At 42.4% G+C, this 19,424-nt stretch overlaps 1 long non-coding RNA gene across 1 annotated transcript, besides 1 other annotated feature; it reads left to right on the top strand.

Annotated features, from left to right (window-relative positions):
- The first annotated feature begins 1,875 nt into the window (after window positions 1–1,875).
- On the top strand, window positions 1,876–18,978 carry LOC105374453 (uncharacterized). Its single transcript, XR_939938.2, has 3 exons — window positions 1,876–2,229; window positions 14,968–15,043; window positions 18,951–18,978. It is a non-coding gene; the product is annotated as an uncharacterized LOC105374453 (long non-coding RNA).
- Window positions 18,681–18,881: a silencer, noted in NCBI's record as "fragment chr2:33111152-33111352 (GRCh37/hg19 assembly coordinates)". NCBI's record gives its function as "represses an EF-1alpha promoter that drives an FKBP-Casp9 reporter gene in an ReSE screen in HepG2 liver carcinoma cells {active_cell/tissue: HepG2}" and the evidence as "EXISTENCE:reporter gene assay evidence [ECO:0000049][PMID:32094911]".

The following is a 19,424-nucleotide window of genomic DNA, read 5'->3' as shown; positions in this document are numbered from 1 at the left end:
AGGTCCCTGTAACAGCAGCCACACAAGAGAAAAGCATGAGCCCAGGCGAACCTGCTGCTTCAACTGCTCCCTCAATCCCGCCCTCTTCAATTGAGGAGCTGCCCTCCACTAAAGGAAGACATCAAGTCCTGGAGGCAAGGAAGGCCTGTATTTAAAGAGGCACTGACTTTAGGCAGCTGTGACTCCTCTATCCCTTTATCCTCTATAACAGAAACAACTCTCAAGAAATTCTCCGAAATGAAAATAACCTCAGCTGAGGAACTTCAATTTGGAGAGACTGGATGTGTTCAGTTTAGGACAGAAAATGTTATGAGATACCACAGATCTATGAACCCACAACTGGCTTGCATGGGATAAAAAGTAGCACGCTTTAACTTCTAAATATATTCTTCAAATACCAGGCCAAGTTCAAACAGAAACTAACATGAGATGGGGAATTTAATATTATTACCTAATCCTGGAAAGTAAAATGAAACAGACAACAATATTACAGTTGCAACCCTAGCTGTAAGGTTAGGACCGATTTAGAGGGAAAAAATGTATATTTTTAGATTCTATTTCACAGGATATCCAATAATATGGCAAACATTGGGATCAGATTTGATGACAAATAATGCTGGCCATGAGAAGCAGCAGGTGGCATGATTCTAAACATGTTTTGGGTGTGTCTCATTATTAAAATATTCTAGAATAGCAAAGAGAGTTCAATGGAGGTGTCAGCCCTGTGCTGGTTCCCAGTAGCTATGGAAGTCCTTGAGTTTGCTGTTCTGTGTCCATTTAAACCTTTCAGCCTAAGTTTCTTTCTTTTTTTCTTTTTTTTTCCGAGACAGAGTCTTGCTCTGTCACCCAAGCTGGGGTGCAGTGGTGCGATTTCTGCTCACTGCAACCTCTGCCTACCGGGTTCAAGCAATTATCCTGCCTCAGCATCTTAAGTAGCTAGGATTACAGGTGCATGCCACCACGCCCGGATAATTTTTTGTTGTTGTTGTTGAGACAGAGTTTTGCTCTTGTTGCCCAGGCCGGAGTGCAATGGTGAAATCTCGGCTCACCGCAACCTCTGCCTCCCGGGCTCAAGCAATTCTCCTGCCTCAGCCTCCCAAGTAGCCGGGATTACAGGTGTGTGCCATCATGCCTGGCTAATTTTTTTTTTTTTTTTTTTTGTATTTTTAGTAGAGACGGGGCTTCTCCATGTTGGTCAGGCTGGTCTTGAACTCCTGACCTCAGGGGATCCACCTGCCTCGGCCTCCCAAAGCGCTGGCATTACAGGCGTGAGCCACCGAGCCCGGCCAATTTTTGTATTTTTAGTAGAGACAGGGTTTCACCATGTTGGCCAGACCAGGCTGGTCTCGAACTCCTGACCTTGTGATCCACTCATCTCAGCCTCCCAAAGTGCTGGGATTACAGGCGTGAGCCACCGTGCCCCGCCGCAAGTTTCTTTCGAAGATTCCCTTTCTTCCTCCCCACTTTGACCATCCCACAATGCCTCCTGAGGTGTGTGAGTGGATCTCCCTCAGAGACGGCAACCCTGTCAGCCTTTCGTCCTCTTCCCTCCTCGACTTCAGCCTGGGCTTTCCCAGAGAAATTTTTCCTCAGGAGTTTGCCTTTCTCTATCCCGTTGAAAATCACACTCCTGGAGAGAAGATCAGAGGAGCATGACCCTGTAAAAATCAGTCTGCTTGGGAATTACTTTTGACTCTGGGCAGGGATCACGACAGGGTCCAAAATAGCAGCTTATTCCTCTCTCCGGGGAAAACATAAGCCTGAATTGGTCTGACACCACACAAAGGGTTTAACTCAAACATAAACCAAGAGCAGCCTAACAACCACAGATTTGTGATAATGTTACAAAGAGAACGTTCTAGAACCTCTCTCCAAACCACTGACACTTTGTGATGGGACTTATAAGGCTTAAACACAGGTCTGTTAAAACACACAGATTTTAAGGTTAAACAAGCAAACAATGGAAGTGGAATCTGAATTGAATTTTTAAAAAAACACACAAGGAAGGCTTAGAGCTGTGCTCATTAACCAGCACCACTGTGGCCACTAGCCATATGTGGTTGTTGCACACTTAAAATGTAGCCCGTGTGACTGAGGAACTGAGTTTTAAATGTTACTTAATGTCAATTAATTTAAATGTAAATTTAAAAATGGAAGCAGTGTAAAATATTTTTCTGGTAGACACAACTTTATTGCTCTGGTGGGACTTGATTTTAACTGTTGTATCAGGTAAGATATTAGTGTTGCAGCGTACATGTTATTAGCACATGTGTTATTTCTGGTATTCATTATTAACTTTGAAAATATTGATTACATGTTAAAATGTAATATTTTGCATATATTGGGTTAGGTAAAGCATATTGTTAAAATTAATTTCACCTGTTTATTTTTCTTTTTTGACATGGGATCTTACTATGTTGCTCAATCTGAAATCAAACTCCTGGGCTCAAGCAATTCTCCTGCCTTAGCCTCCCTAGTAGCTGAGACTATAGGTAAACTTTGGAATATGACAAATCTAAATTCAAATCCTGATCCCAAGCATTACTAGCTGTGTGACCTAGAACAAGTTTCTTAACACCTCTGAGCTTCAGTTTCCTCATCTCTAGAATGGGGTGATAACTGTACTGTCCTCACAGAGACATTGGGAGGATAATAAGAGAAAGCTGTGAAAAGGTGATCAATATATTTCAGCTAATAAGCTCCCAAGCCTCCTTCTTCCTGGCCTTGTATCATGTCTGTGGTTTTATGATAATGTCAAGGCTTCTTCTGGTCTCTGTGTTAGTGTAGCGCTACGAACCTGGCCTCTGAAGTCACAGTACCACGATTCAAATTCCAGTTTTACCTCTTGTTAGCTGTGCAATCGAAGACAAGTTGTTTAACCTTTGAAGCCACTGTTTTCTCATCTGTTGAGAGAGAGACAGAGACAGAGAAAATGAAAAGACTCTCTTTCCCAGGATGCTTGTGGGGATGATGGGACAGATTCAGAGGCTGAGTTTATGAACTCTTTCAGGGGCTGTTAGCCTGCATATAAATGCAGGTAAAAACTAAGAAAGATGGTTAATAAAATTGCAACAAAATCATGATCTTTTTCAGCCTCTTTCCCTACCTCTACCCTACCCCACCCTGAGGAAATCTGCTGGGACCCCAAAGCCCTCACACCTTTTGTGAATGCCCAAAGGCGTCTCATGGGCCCCTCCCAGCTGCCTCCAGAGAATCCTCTCCTTGTCACTGGAAGTTCTGCTTAGGTCTCCCCGGCTGCACTATTCCCTGGTCCACTCTGATGGCCCTGTGGGGCTTGCTGTGGTGAAGCCAGTCTTTCTCCCATGCCAGTTATGCTGAGCTGGAGGAAATGCCCTCCACATGCCAGCACTGTGGTCTGTAACTTGGCCACAGATTACCTGCTGAGCCTCAATTTTCTCCCCTGTAAAATGGGGCAATAACTGTGTCACCCTCATAGAGACGTTGGGAGGATGAATTAGCTAAAGCTGCAAACACGTGACCACGTGGGCCTGGCCCTTCCAGTCCTTCCGCTGACAGCCTCTTGCTTCACTCTGGTCTCCCACTTTCGAAATCCTCCCCACCCTCGCCCTGCTGAGGACCACAGTCCTGGGGTCAGACTGCTTGGCCATACTCCTCACCAGCTTTGAACGGGGGATTGTAGGGGAGGGGACAATGTCTTGAGCAGCCATCAACTCTGTGTGTCCATCTTCTTATCTCCTGTGAGGTTCTCTGGGCACTGGGCAGAGAGTTCTAGAGAGGGGTTCCAGCCTTACTCAAAGACCCCTCCAGACTGCTACTTCTCCCTCAGCCCTCATCCCCATCTAGCTCCCATGACCTCCCAAGTCCCTCTGCAACTGTTTTCTAATTCATCCTTCTCTTCCCACTGCACTGCCTCAGTTCAGACCCTCAACATCTCTCCCTGGAATGAAGTTCCTCTTGTGACTGGTCCCTGCTTTCAGTTTTGCCCTAATCTGATCCATCCTCCCATCTACCATCCACGCAACTGCGCATCTGCCATTGTTCCCCTGCTTGAAACCCTTCAGTTCCCACCCCACCCCTAAGCTCCTTAACATGGCTTGCAAGCCCCTCTGGGCTCTGCTTGTCACTTCCCTGGCTCTTTCCTCTTTCAGGGAGCTTTGCCTGGAGAGATACGACACACACAGTGAGCTGTTTCCCACCTCCATGCCTCGGCTCACCCTGTCCTGCTGCCTGGAATGCCTGTCCCTTGTCCCTGCTGCCTTTCTTTGCTGGACCTGCTCTAATTCCACTTCGCTTTACAACAAACCTATTTGTGTCTATTTCTTTTTCTTAGCCATGAATTCCCTTAGGTAGAGCATTGCATTCTATTCATATTTATATCTCATAACGCAGTTGCTGCCAGAAGGTAAATGTGTGTTGAATGAATGGGGGGCGGGCGGCACATGATAACTTTAAACGAGCGTGACAGGGTGGGATTTTCCTCCCTTCTCACCCTCCTCTGCCCTGCGTCCCCACCCTTTGCTGGGAAAATATCTTTTGCACAATGAAGCAGAGGCAGCTGTTAGCATAATAACTCATGGATGCACTGCTATGAAAAGTGGTTAATATTTGCAGGATAAATGTGGTTTGGGCTGTGGGGAGTTTCTCTGGGAAGAAACTAAATAATCTACTCCTGCCTCTGACTGAAAGGCATTAGCTGTGAACCCGGGGTCCTGGGAAGAGTGGGTCCAATGGGCAGAGGGGACTGGGGCTGACGGGACACAGAGAGAAGAAAAATTCATTAGCCTCCAGAGTGGGCTCTAATATGGACTGGCAGTGACATGGCAGAAAAGGAAGCAAGTATCTGTCCCTGTCCTCACCCTTAACAAAGTCATCTCACATAAATAAGAGTTCATTTAAAAATAAATAAATAGTAAAACAAAAGGGAGGTGATTGAGAGAAGGGATACCCCAGTCTCCATGATGTGATTATTACACACTGCAGACCTGTATCAAAACATCTCATGTACTCCACAAATATATACACCTACAGGGTACCCACAAGAAACTTAAAAAAAAAATTGGCTGGGTGCAGTGGCTCACACCTGCAATCCCAACACTTGGAGGCAGAGGCGGGAGGATTGCTTGAGCCCAAGAGTTTGAGACCAGCCTGGGCAACATGGTGAAACCCGCCTCTACAGAAAATATAAAAATTAGTCCGGTGTGGTGGTGCACACCTGTAGTCCCAGCTACTCAGGAGGCTGAGGCAGGAGGATTGCTTGAGCCTGGGAGGAAGAGACTACATAAGTCAAGATGGCGCCACTGCACTCCAGCCTGGGCAACAGCACAAGACTTTGTATCAAAAATAATTTTTTAAAATTAAATAATAAATATTCCTCCCAAAAAAACCATAGTTGATATTTGTAGTTTAAAATGACAGAATTGTCTTCTGGAGTTATATAGAAAGTAAAGGTTTTCTTACCATCCATCCATCTAAGAGACTGCATGCAGTTACATTCCTATTGACACCATTAACCTCCAGGTCAAAATTCAGATGCCCAAGTCCCAGTCTCCCCACTTGCAAAAACAGCAAGGCTTATAACTTTACCATAGGTCAACTCAATGAACGAAAGCACCATAGTATAGTGGTGAGGACAACAGAGTAAGAAACAGATTCTAATGTGAACTCTGCCAATAATCTGCAATGTGACCTTTTCCTAAGTTAAAACTTTCCCAGATGTCAGGTTTTTTTATATGTTCAATGGGGCTATTACTACTTGTTATACTGAGTTCAGAGGGATGTTGAAGAGACAAAATGAGGCACTAGATTCAAAAGCCCATCAAAAAGGTTAGATGCTGCGCATATTCAGATACTGTTTTTTTTTGACCCATTGATTAAATAACTAATGTTTGAAAGCTTTATTTGTTCCATGGGCTGTAGAGTAGGTGCCTAACTGACGCAGGTACCTATGTGTTGGTAGAGGGACAAAGGGGAGGTGGCATGGGGGAGAAGCAAGAGGAGGGAATGTGGAAATGAGAAAGATGTGTCCTTTGTCACAGGGGAGATGAAAGCCCATAGAGCAATGTCTCATGCAGAGGGTGTTAAGCACCAAAGAAAACAGGTAAAGTATTTCTAGAGGAGGGATTACTTCTCATCACGGAGATCACTGTCATTCACAACCAGCCACACTAAGCTCCTTGGGGGTTAGTGGAGGCACATGGATTTGGGGAAGTCAGCTCTATTCTCTATAGGTTTTATTCTGATGTACATCAGATCCAAAGTTAGGTTAACTGAGTGAGATGGTATTACAGCTGTTTAGAGAACACTGTAGCCAAAAGGTCTGATTCCATAAGAAATAAACCCACCTGTCAAGGAGAAAGAAAGCAACAGCAAGCTCATCACAGACACACGAGACACCATCCAAGTGACTTTCAGTGATCCTTTTCCAGCCTGAGCTTAAACATACACCTGCATAAAGAGAAAAATGGAGAATGAGTCCAAGGGCTTGGAGCTGAAGGGAACAAAGAAAGGTCATTTGGGAAAAGTGCAGCAGCTGTTTTCAAAACGGCCTGAGCTTTTTCTCTGTACCCAAGGGAATATGGTACTGAAAGCGAGTCTCTTCTTCTCCCATTACTGGGTGTTCACTAAGCCTCAACAGCATCCACAGTCCTTTGGGACTAACCTGGGGCTTATGTGGAGACAAGAAGTAGAAAAGTTTCCCTGTAATCCCACCACAAATACTTCCTCTGACTCCAACGGGCTCTCACAGTAATTTCAGCTACGGGGCTTCTCACCATTTCTTTGTGATCAAGAGCTTAGTCCAGGCTCTGACATTTTGGTCAGGAACACTTGTCCCTTAAATTCCTCCCTGAGTTTTCCTTTGCTCCCTTCCTTTCCTTTCTACCTAGTCTCTGAAGGCTGCATTACAAATGCTCCCTCTTGGGTGTGCTTCGGACTATTTATGAGTCCCACACATCCTTTGATTGTCTGTCAGTCAAGCTATTAACAGGGAGGGACTGATACATTATAAATGTCAACTGTGGGAATAAAGCTGAACACATCTATAGCCCTTCTCGGTGTTCCTTCAGTTATTTTGAGGAAACACTCTTATTCTAAAGTGGTGTGTCAGCTGGGATCTGGCCTCCCCTGTGGCTTTTGAAGCATGCCCTTTGGGTCTGTGTTACTCTCTTCCATTCTCACTTATATTGTCTGTTTCACAATACCTTGTCTCTAGAAGAGTATCTAGAAAACTGGTAGTGGTTGCACACACACCAAAATCCCAGACTTTTAATTCAGATTTTAAAAATATTCTCATTGTTTGCTGTGTATATTAGTTTACTTTACCTGCTGTGACAAATTACCACAAACTTAGTGGCTTCAAATAACACACTTTTATTCTCCAATAGTTCTGGGGGTCAGAATGTAAAATCAGTTACATTAGCCCAAGATCATGGCATCGGTAGGGTTGCACTCCTTCTGGAGGCTTTTGGGGAGAATCCTTTTTCTTATCTTTTGAGCTTCTAGAGATGTACTCTTTGCATTCCTTGGCTTGTGGCCCCTTCCTCCATCTTCAAAGCCAATACCTCAGCCTCTTGCCTTAATGTCCCATTTCTTTATATGGTGTCAAGTCTCCCTCTGCCTCTCTCTTATAAGGTCATTTGTGATTGCATTTAGGTCCCACCAAGTTAATCTAGGATACTCTCTCCATCGAAAATTCCTTGACTTAATCACATCTACAAAGCCTGTTTTGACACATTACATTAGTATTCACAGGTGTTAGGGATTAGGACCTGGATATCTTTGGTGGCCACTATTCAGTCTACTACACTGTGGCAAATGCACAGTAATTTACAGCATTTACCTTCTGCTGGGGATCTGAAACACTGCTCAGGAAACATGCTACACCCCTTGGTTCTCGCTGGCATAGTATGGATTTAGGATAACCCACTGTCTTAGTCTGTTTTGTGCTGCTATAACAGAATACCTGAGACTGGGTAATTTATAATGAACAGAAATTGACTGGCTCACAATTCTGGAAGCTGGGAAGTCCAAGAGGGGCCGGCATCCGGAGAGGGGCTTCTTGCTGTGCCATCCCAAGGTGGAAGGGCAAAAGAGAGAGAGATAAAAGGGGGCCAGACACACCCTTTTATAACAAACCCATTTCCATGATAACAGTATTAAACCATTTCTGCCTGAGGTTGCAATTTTTTGAATTTTTGCCAATCAGACCTTGAGCAGTAGATATAAATAACTCCTACATGCTTAGTGTTCCAATAATGGAACACTAGGCATAAATGGGTTTTAATCCATTTACTTCCCCCTTATGGCCTAATCACCTCTCATTAGGCCCCAACTCCCAACAATGCTGCCTGAGTATTAAGTTTCCAACATGCAGATTTTGGGAGGCATTCAAACCATAGCACCTACCATCATGCAGTTAGAGAAAAATGGGTTAAAAAAATCTAAGCATCATTAGTGCAGAAAACCTTTTTGTGTTAATTATGATGAGGCATCACTAAAAACAACAACAAAAAAGAACAAAACCCTTCCACTTCAGCAGCTCCAGATTCTAGGTTTGCAATCTCTGGGAGAAGTAGATGGAAGTGTTCCAGAAGAGACCACTCTCCAGGCCCACTCTTAACATATTTACAAGGCCAGTACAGGAGAACAAATGAAGGCCGGCATAGCATATGTCTAGAATGTTTAAAAACATAAGCCAAGCTAGCATAATATTAAATAAAATATGTTCTTTCCTTCTACTTTGGCCAATAGACCTTCACAATGACCCGAAAGCTGTATTTGAACTTAAAAATTTGGGATTTCCCATGTTTTAGCAGGGAATTTTGAGGTTACATATGAACAGCCATTCATAGCTTCTGGCCCCTGGTTATTCCTCTCTTCTCTTCCCATCTTTCTATCCAGCACTTCCAGGTGCTTATAGTCATGTGTGAACCTGCCAACCCACACATCTGAAGCTCCATCTTCAACCCCCATAAAGAGCTGTTTCTTGGCCAACTGTCAGGGCTAGGGGTTAGTTCAGCAGCAGCACTGTCTGCCCTTATACAGGCAGACCAAAGAAAGAGGACTGAGCAGGCCCTTGAAGAGCTAATTCATTCCTCTTTCAGGGTCAGGTGGGCAGAGAATTCAGAATTCTAAGAAGGCAGATCATGAACTAGAACAGTACTTATCTGGTGAAAAATGCTTTTTTTAAAAAGTTCACTCTACTGTGGATCCACATTTTTGTAAAATATAATTTAAATATTTCAGCAGTGTTAAATTGCCATAAAAAGTACCACTTACTCTCACTTTCTATACTTAGCTCATCCTGGACCAGCAGTAAACAGATCAAACTTTGCGTGCCATTAGACTAGAAGATGAGGCATGGGTGAATTCCTGTTCCATGCTGCATCTCAAGTCACCACCAACTTAATGCCTTACAACAACACATGTCCATTATCTCATGATTTCCTTGGGTCAAGAGTCTGAGTGTGGCTTAACTGGTTCCTCTGCTCAGGGTCTCACTGGACTGCAGTCAAGGTGTCAACCAGGGCTGCAGTTTCATCTGAGGTTCAGAGTCCTCTTTCAAGCTCAAATGGTCATTGGCAGAATTCATTTCCTTGTGGCTATAGAACTAATGGCAACTTGATTCTTCAAGACCAGCAGATTCTCTCTTTTCATGAAGGGTTCAGCCCTCTTTTAAAGGATTTCACCTTACTAAGTAAGGTCCATCCAGGACAATCTTTTTTTGTTGACTTATAGTTAACTGATGAGAAACGATAATTATATCTGCAAATCCCTCCACTTTTGCCATATAATGTCACCTAATCATGGAGTGTGATTCATAGGTCACACTCACACTCAAAGAGGGGGAAGATAGAGAGTGCGTGAATCTTGGGTGCCATCTTAGAATTCCTTCTACCACAGTGGGCTTAAGGGGGGCACAACCCTTTAGCCCGTGGACTCCTCTTCTCATAGAGAGAAAAAGTCTAGAGTATGACCCTCTAAAGCTCAGGAAAAGGGCAGAGATCCCTCATGACACAGTCTCAGAGAGATACTGCACCCTCCCTAACAGTTTAGGATTGGATCTGTGTCAACATCTCCTTCACGTAGCCCAGACTCCAATGCTAAAATATACTCCTTCCAAGGACTTCTCGCTGCATTTCTTCTAACATTTCCTGCCTTTGCCTAACCATAGTAGTTACTTTTGAACAAACAGGATTTTCTTTTTTCATTCCTATTTTTTTTTTATTTCTTGAGACAGGGTCTCGCTCTGTCCTCAAAGCTGAAGTGGCTGGAGTACTGTGGTGTAGATATGGCTCACTGCAGTTTCAACCTCCTGGGCTCAAGCAGTCCTCCATCTCAGCCTTCCAAACAGCTGGGACCACAGGCATGTGCTACCACAACTGGCTAATTTTTAATTTTTTTGTAAAGACAGGATCTCACTATGTTGCCCAGGCTGGTCTTGAACTCCTGGGCTCAAACAATCCTCCCACCTTGGCCTCCCAAAGTGATTCACAGGCATAAGCCACTGTGCCTGGCCCAAACAGAAAGGATTTTCACAACCGTATTACATCTATATTTTATAATTCTGGGGTTACAAATAGTTGTTTGCTTGGAGACTTATCATTCATATTCCTCTTTGGAGGTCTTCCAAAGAGTTATACAGGCCTGCCTATACACATCACTGAAGATATTCTTGTTATGTTATCAGTAAGCGCCAGAAAGCTCCAATTCCCTCTCTATCAGAGGGTGAGAGTTCATCTGGGCTACCTTGTTTATATTCTTAGAGATTACTGCAGGATCAGTGTGTGACCATCATTCTCATTCAAAGCATGGTAACTCTGCTATACATCCATGAGATTCTAACGCAAAATGACCGATTAATTAAACAAGCTAACAGAAGATTACATATTCAAGTGAGTTTCAGCCTTCAACATAGCTCCCTTGGGAGACCATACTCTTACACTAATGAGGCTGCAATTGCATAAATCATTTTTGGAATTCCTCTTTGGGAAGAATCTTCAAAAGCCTGTGGCCTACGCTTTTTAATAACCCAGTGGTAACAAATCTTCATCCACTAATAGTGAATTCGATTTTTGGCAACAATGATATCATTTGAATCCAAAGTTCCTGATCGATTTGTAGGTGATCTAGCTGAATTATCAAAACACCGTGTATTAGTCAGGATTCCCTGGAGAAACAGAACAAATAGAATAATTATGGATACATAAGAGGAGATGTACTATGGGAATTGGTTCACACAATTATGGAAGCCAAGAAGTCCCATGATGCTGGTTCTCCAGTTTGCAAATGGCATATCATGGGACTTCCTGGCCTCCATAACTTTGTGAGCCAATTCCCATGGTTCAGTCCAAATCCAAAGGCCTGAGAACTACGGGAGCCAATGGTGTATCTCCCAGTTGGAGGCAAGAGGGCTCCGGTATAAGTCCTAGAATCCAAAGGCACAAGAGCCAGGAGCTCTAATGTCCAAGGGCAGGAGAAGATGGACATCTAGCTCAAGAAAAAGAGAGAGAATTCGCCCCCCTCTGCCTTTTTATTCTATTTGGGCCCTTGATGGATTTGCTGATACCTGCCCACACTGATGAGAGGTAATCTTCTTTACTCAGTCTACTAATTCAAATGCTAATATCTTCTGAAAATACCCTTCCAGATACACCCAGAAATAATTTTTTTTTCATTTTCTGGGTATCCCTTACCATAGCCAAATTGACACATAAAATTAGCCATCACAGGGACATGTAAAAGTGCTTCTCCCAAATTGCTCAAACTGTTTATAAATGCACTCCCAAAGAATGTGCAATGACAGAATTGTTGTAAATAAGATCATAGCCTACCAAAGTGACTTCCTTGAAGAACAACTTGCTATTAGTGCACTGTTAAGTTTCAAAGGGGATATCACATGTATACCTATGAAATAGAAAGTGGAAATTTTTTGTGACCAATTACCATTAAATAAAATAAATTGAGACTCAGAGAATGTGTTTTCACAAGATCTCACAGTTAGTAGATGGCAGAGCCAAATTTATGCTCAAGGCTTCAAACCCGAGGCTCTTACCATTAACCCAGGAAGGGCAATTATGTACCACTTCTGTTGCCATGGACCCTAGCCATGTTCATGGCAGACCATGCTCATAGATGACTCTTTCCCGCTGAGCTATATTCTACCTTAAAATCCCCAATGCAACTCTCTAGGGAGTGAAACCAATGAAGCAGGGTTGATACTCAATTTCTTTTTGCCTGTTGAAGAGAACTGCACTCATTTGAGTGCATAATTTCTGGTATATTTGTTCAAAAATTAGAGTCCTTTCTTGATAGCCACACAATATCCAAGTTAATGTCTTTAGCTCTTGGTAATTGTTCCAGGCCATGGAACCTTAGGATTAATTGGTAAATAGCAGATCTATGTGTTCTCAATCATTCATATTCCTCTTTGGAGATCTTTCAAAGAGTTATGCAAGCCTGCCTATACACATCACTGAAGACGTTCTTGTCTCCTAAAACTGTCTAATTATGACTTTAGTTGGTTCACTGAGGAGCTACAGCCCAGCATAAAATCAAGAACAAATGAAATGGAGTAACTACATGGCTTTTGGAAATTACAGGCCATGTCTGTTTCCATATTTACCAGTTTATTTAAATTAAGTTGTCCCTCCACCAGCTTTATTAAGGTATAATTGACAAATAAATATTGTATATGTTTATGGTGTGCAACCTGATGTTCTTACATATACATTGTGAAATGATTATATCAAGCTAATAACATATCTGTCACCTCACATACTTATCCTTTTTTTGTGGTTGGAACATTTAAGATCTATTCTCTTAGCAATTTTCAAGTATACAAAACATTATCATTAACTATAGTCACCATGGTATACAATAAATCTCCAAAACTTATTTATTCTGTCTAATTGAAACTTTGTACCCTTTGACCAACATCTCCCCACCCCCACTCTACCACCCCACCACTCCCCAGCCCCTAGCAACCACCATTCTACTCTCTGCCTCTATGAGTTTGACTTTTGTAGATTCCACATATAAATGAGATCGTGCAGTATTTATCTTTCTGTGCCTGGCTTATTTTACTTAGCATAATATCTTCCAGGTTAATCCGTGTAGTCACAGATGACAGGACTTCCTTCTTTTCAAAGGCTGAATAGTATTCCACTGTGTGCCTATACTACATTTTCTTTATTTACTCATCCATCAGTGGACACTTGGGATGATTCCATATCTTGGCTATTGTGAATAATGCGGCCATGAACATGATGGGTTAGATATCTCTGTAAGATGCTGATTTCAGTTCCTCTGGACATATACCCAGAAGTCTGCTCATAGGTGAAGGTACTAATCTGGATCATATGGTAGTTACATTTTTAATTTTTTGAGGAACCTCCACACTGGTTTTCATAATGGCTATGAGTTTTCGAAAGTTGAATTTAGTAAAGCAATCTGATAGCTTTGTTGATGGTCTTCCTGAGGCCTCAATTGAAACTCATTTGCATTTGACTGCTAACTTTTATTTTGACTTCAGCTTCTAACAACAAATTAGTGTTTCTTTAAGGGTGTGTGGGGACTCCTGCATTAGAACCACCTAAGGAATTTTTTTTTAATATCCTAGATATTGTCTGATGTCTGATAGTATTTCCCAGAAATACTACATTTTTAGCATGTTCTTTGTATGATATAAGACTGCTTAAGACCCACTCAAGGTTCTATTTCCAATTAAAATGTAGACAGTTGTAAAAGACTGTTACTCAAGCCAAGGGAAAAATATCTGTCTGTCTGTCTACTTTTTAAAGCCAGTGAACAATGAAAAGGAGGATATGTGAACTAAATTCCTAAGAATACTGGACACAGGGGGATAAAGCATTGGAAAATTTAAAGACAAGTGAATAGAAATTATCTTAACAGAAGCACAGAGAAGAAAAAGATTAAAAATAAAAATATTAATTTGGGGGGACAATATCAAATAGTCTAATATACATAGAATTGGAGTCTCAGAAAGCAAGGACAAAGAAAATTGGATAAAATAAATGTTGAAAGGTATATAATCCTAGCATTTTGGGAGGGTAAGTTGAGCAGATTGCTTGTGTCCAGGAGTTTGAGACCATCCTGGGCAATATAATGATACCTCGTCTCTACAAAAAATAAAAAATTAGCCAGGCATGGTGGTGTGTGGTCTTAGCTACTCAGGAGGCTGAGGCAAGAGGATTACTTGAGCCTGGGAGGTCGAGGCTGCAGTGAGTTGTGGCAAAAACAAAACTCACTGCATTCTAACCTGGGACAGAACTGTGGCCCTGTCTCCAAAAAAAAAAAAAAAAAAAAGTCAAAGAAAAAAATACACTTTATATTTGGGAGAAAGAGGGGGTTTGGAATGTGGGAGGAGAGACATGGATGACAACTGACTTTTTATCAGAAATAATAGAATTCAGAATAGAGTAAAACCATATCATTGAAATGGTTTTTTTGTTTGTTTGTTTTTATTTTTTGAGACGGAGTCTCACTCTGTCACCAGGCTGGAGTACAGTGGCACAATCTCAGCCACTGCAACTTCTGCCTCCTGGGTTCAAGCAATTCTCCCACCTCAGCCTCCTGAGTAGCTGGGACTACAGGCACACACTGCCATGCCGGCTAATTTTTTTTTTTTTTTTTGTATTTTAGTAGAGACGAGTTTCACCATGTTGCTCAGGCTGGTCTCAATCTCCTGAGCTCAGGCAATCCATCCGCCTGGGCTTCCCAAAGTGCTAGGATTACAAGCGTGAGCCACCGTGCCTGGCCAAGTGTTTTAAAAATACATAACAATTATCAACCTAGAATTCTACATCCTGTGAAAATAAACTTCAGAATGAGGGGGAAATAAAGACACTTTTAATGGAAAAAAAAAAAAAAAGCTCAGAGAATGTGTTACCAACAGACCCAAACTACAAGAAATGGGCCATTTTGTTTATATGTTTATATCACTAAAATCTCTAGAGTTTTTTTCAGCTAAAGGGAAGTTATCCCAGATGGAAGCCAGATTTCAGAAGGAATCTACAGGAAGGAATGAAAAGCACTAAAAAAGGTAAATATGTGGGTAAATATAAAAGACTAGTTTTTATTTTTTTAATTTTGAAAAGATGTTTGAGTGTTTAGATAAAAATAATAGCAAGTGTTGTGGGGTTTGTAACATACGTAGAAGTGAAACACATAACAAAATAGCACAAAGGGATAAAGGCTGTAAATGGAATTATAGTGTTTTAAGTCATTATTCTGTCCATGAAGTACTATAATATTTATTCAGTGTAGACAATGATAAATTAAGGTTGCATATTGAAATCACTAGAGCCATCATTATTTAAAAAAAAAAACCCAAAGAGACATAGGTAAGAAGCAATAAAGAAGATAAAAAGAATGTGAAAATAATCTAAGAGAAGGCAGTCAAGAAGGAACAAAGAAAGAAAGAACACATGGAAAACAAAGCAACATGATTCATAAACTCACACCACCAGAAATTACATCAATCAAATGTAAGAGATTAAACACTGAAATTAGAAAGTATAGATTTTTAGACTGGATTAAAAAGTGACAGCCATCAATGTGCTATGTAAAAGACGTGCAATTTATTCTGATGTTCTGGGTGGGAATTTGTTCAAGTCTTTATCTTCACTTACTTTGTATTCTTATTTTCTCTTTTCTACTTGTTCTATCATTACTGAGAGAAGAGTATTGAAATCTCCAACGAAAACTCTTACTCTATTCTCCTTTCAGTTCTATCAGTTTTTGTTGTGTATATTTCAAAGCTCCATTATTAAGTACATACACATTAGAACTGTTGTCTTCTTAATGAAATAACGCCTTTATTATGAAATGTCCTCTTTATCTATGATCATATTCCTTGTTATGAACTCTACTTTGTATCTACTCCAGCTTTCTCTTGATTATTGCTTGATTGGTATATGTATCTCCATCTTTTATTTTAATCTATCTGTATCTTTATATTTAAAGTGGTTTCTTGTATAGACAGCATACACTGAATATTGTTTTTTTTGTTTGTTTTTTTTTTTTTTTTTTTTGAGATGGAGTCTTGCTCTGTCACCCAGGCTAGAGTGCAATGGTGAGATCTTGGCTCACTGCAGCCTCCACCTCCCAGGTTCAAGAGATTCTCCTTCTTCAGCCTCCTGGGGTAGCTAAGATTACAGGCACATGTCCTACCACACCCAGCTAATTTTTGTATTTTTAGTAGAGACGGGGTTTTACCATGTTGGCCAGGCTGGTCTCAAACTCCTGACCTCAAGTGATCTGCCCGCCTTGGCCTCCCAAAGTGCTGGGATTACAGGCATGAGCCACCACATCCAGCCTGGATATTGTATTTTTAAAATTCTCTGACAATATCTGGCTTTTAATTGCAGTGTTTAGACCACTTACAATGAACATATTTATATGGTTGAGCATACATTCATCATTTTGCTGTTTGTTTTCTATTTTCTCATTTGCTTTTTGTTTTCCATGTCTTTTTTATTGTTGTTGTTGCTGCCCTAGCAGCCCAATTAATTTTTGACAAACTTTAAATTTTAGAATAGTTTTAGATTTACAGAAAAGAAAATATAGTACAGAAAGTTCCTGAATATTCCATTCTTGGTTTCTCTTATTAACATCTCACATTCATATGGCATATTTATCAAAACTAAAAAATATTGATGTCTTCTTAATTACAGTCCTTAGTTAATTCAAATTTCTTTAGTTTTAACCAAACATCTCTCTTCTGCCCCAGGATTTCATCCAGGATACAATGTTACATTTAGTTGTCATGTCTACTTAAGCTCCTCCTGGCTGTGACAGTTTCTCAGAATTTCCTTATTTTTGATGACCTTAATAGTTTTGAGAAATACTGGTCAGGTGTCAGGCATTTTATAGAATATTCTTCACTTTGAGTTTGTCTGGCATTTTTCTCATGGCTAGATAGGGGTTATGGGTTTTTGGAAGGAAGACCACTGAGATAAAGTACCATTCTCATGGCATCACCTGAAGGGTACCTAACTATCAAGTTGACTTATCACTATTGATATTAACTTGATCTTCTGATTGAGGTAGGGTTTATCAGACTTCTCCACTGTAAAGTTACTCTTTTCTCCCTTCTTTCCATCCTGGACTCTTTGGAAAGAAGTCATTATATGCAGCCCCCACTTAAGGGGTAAGAATATCTTCCACCTCCTTGATGGGGGAGTATCTACATAAATTATTTGGAATTCTTCTGCAAGGGAGATTTATCTCTTCTCCCCCATTTATTTATTCATACAATCATGTATTTCTGTTAGGTGGATTAACATTTATTTTATACTTTGGGTTATCAGCCAATACTACATTATTTACTTTATTGCTCAAGTTGTTCAAGCTTTGGCCATTGGTAACCTTTTCAGTTGGCTCTTGCATCCCTTTGACATACCCCTATCTTTTTACCCCAGCACTTCCTTACTTTCTGGCACTATAGTTTCCTTTTGTATGTTATTAGTGCAGCCCTAGAATCAGCCATTTCTCCAGTGATTCCTGGTTTCTTTTACTAGAGAATGGTATTAGAAACCAAGATCTGGGTGCTAGGGGTGCTCATTACTATTGGGGTGTTGTGGTTTCTAGGCCCTTTTAGCTGACAGAGCAATAAAATGTATGTATCTATACATACTAATCCATGAATCGATACATATCTGCAAATATCTATTTGTAACCATCTGTAGCTATATTAAGCTAAATTCGTGAGTTCATTCTGATGTCTCTAACTCTAATCCAATACCACATGGATCATTCTAACCTTCCTCCCTTAAGAGCACTTCTTGTGAAATGTTATTTCCTGTCCTGGTCACTTCCTCCCTCCTTCCCCTACATCATCCTGAGAGGTGACAACGTGCTAGCAGGCCTCACTCACTCTCAGCACCTCCTCGGCCTCGGCATCCACTCTGGCCATGCTTGAGGAGCCCTTCAGCCTGCTGCTGCACTGTGGGAGACCCTCTCTGGGCTGGCCGAGGCTGGAGCCGGCTCCCTCTGCTTGCAGAGAGGGGTAGAGGGAGAGGCACAGGCGGGAACCAGGGCTGCGTGCAGCACTCACTGGCCAGTGCGAGTTCTGGATGGGCGCGGGCTCAGTGGGCCCGCACTTGAAGCAGCCGGCCGGTGCCGCTGGCCCCAGGCAGTGAGGAGCTTAGCACCCGGGCCAGCAGCTGCGGAGGGTGCGCCAGGTCCCCCAGCACTGCTGGCCGGCCCGCGCCACGCTCAAATTCTTGCTGGGCCTCAGACGCCTTCCTGCGGGGCAGGGCTCGGGACCTGCAGCCCGCCATGCCCAAGCCCCCCTGCAGTGGGTTCCTGCATGGCCCGAGCCTCCCCGACAGGCGCCGCCCCGTGCTCCACCGCGCCTGGTCCCATCAACCGCCCAAGGACTGAGGAGTGCGGGTGCACTGTGTGGGACTGGCAGGCAGCTCCACCCATTGCCCCGGCGCAGCATCCACTAGGGGAAGCCAGCTGGGCTCCTGGGTGGGGTGGGGACTTGGAGAACTTTTATGTCTAGCTAAAGGATTGTAAAGGCACCAATCAGCACTCTGTGTCTAGCTCAAGGTTTGTAAACGCACCAATCAGCACCCTGTGTCTATCTCAAGGTTTGTAAATGCACCAATCAGTGCTCTGTGTCTAGCTAATCTAGTGGGGACTTAGAGAACTTTTACCTCTAGCTAGAGGATTGTAAATACACCCATCAGCACTCTGTGTCTACCTCAGGGATTGTAAACACACCAATCAGCACCCTGTCAAAACGGACTAATCGGCTCTCTGTAAAATGGGCCAATCAGCAGGATGTGGGTGGGGTCAGATAAGGGAATAAAAGCAGGCTGCCCGAGCTAGCAGTGGCAACCTGCTTGGGTCCCCTTCCACAACGTGGAAGCTTTGTTCTTTCGCTCTTTGCAATAAATCTTGCTGCTGCTCACTCTTTGGGTCCACACTGTCTTTATGAGATGTGACACTCACCGTGAAGGTCTGCAGCTTCACTCTTGAGGCCACCGAGACCACGAACCCACCGGGAGGAACGAACAACTCCGGACAGGAGGAACGAGCAACTCCAGACGCGCCGCCTTAGGAGCTGTAACACTCACCGCAAAGGTCTGCAGCTTCACTCCTGAAGCCAGTGAGACCACGAACCCACCAGAAGGAAGAAACTCCGAACACGTCTGAACATCAGAAGGAACATACTCCGGATACACTATCTTTAAGAACTGTAACACTCACCACGAGGGTCCGCAGCTTTATTCTTGAAGTCAGTGAGACCAAGAACCCACAAATTCCAGACACTATCCCACCTAGAAACAGTTTTTATAAGTCCTCCATTTCTGAGCCAATATTGTACGTTTGCTCAATAAAGTCACTCTCCAGCTATGAAGTCTCTGCTTAAAAATTGTGTTAGAATGTGGAAGATCTGCAATGAGAAGCAT

Source organism: Homo sapiens, chromosome 2 (assembly GCF_000001405.40).
Source record: "Homo sapiens chromosome 2, GRCh38.p14 Primary Assembly".
Classification (NCBI taxonomy): domain Eukaryota; kingdom Metazoa; phylum Chordata; class Mammalia; order Primates; family Hominidae; genus Homo; species Homo sapiens.
The sequence above is the reverse complement of the archived record's forward strand: the minus strand, read 5'-3'. Positions and strand labels throughout refer to the sequence as shown.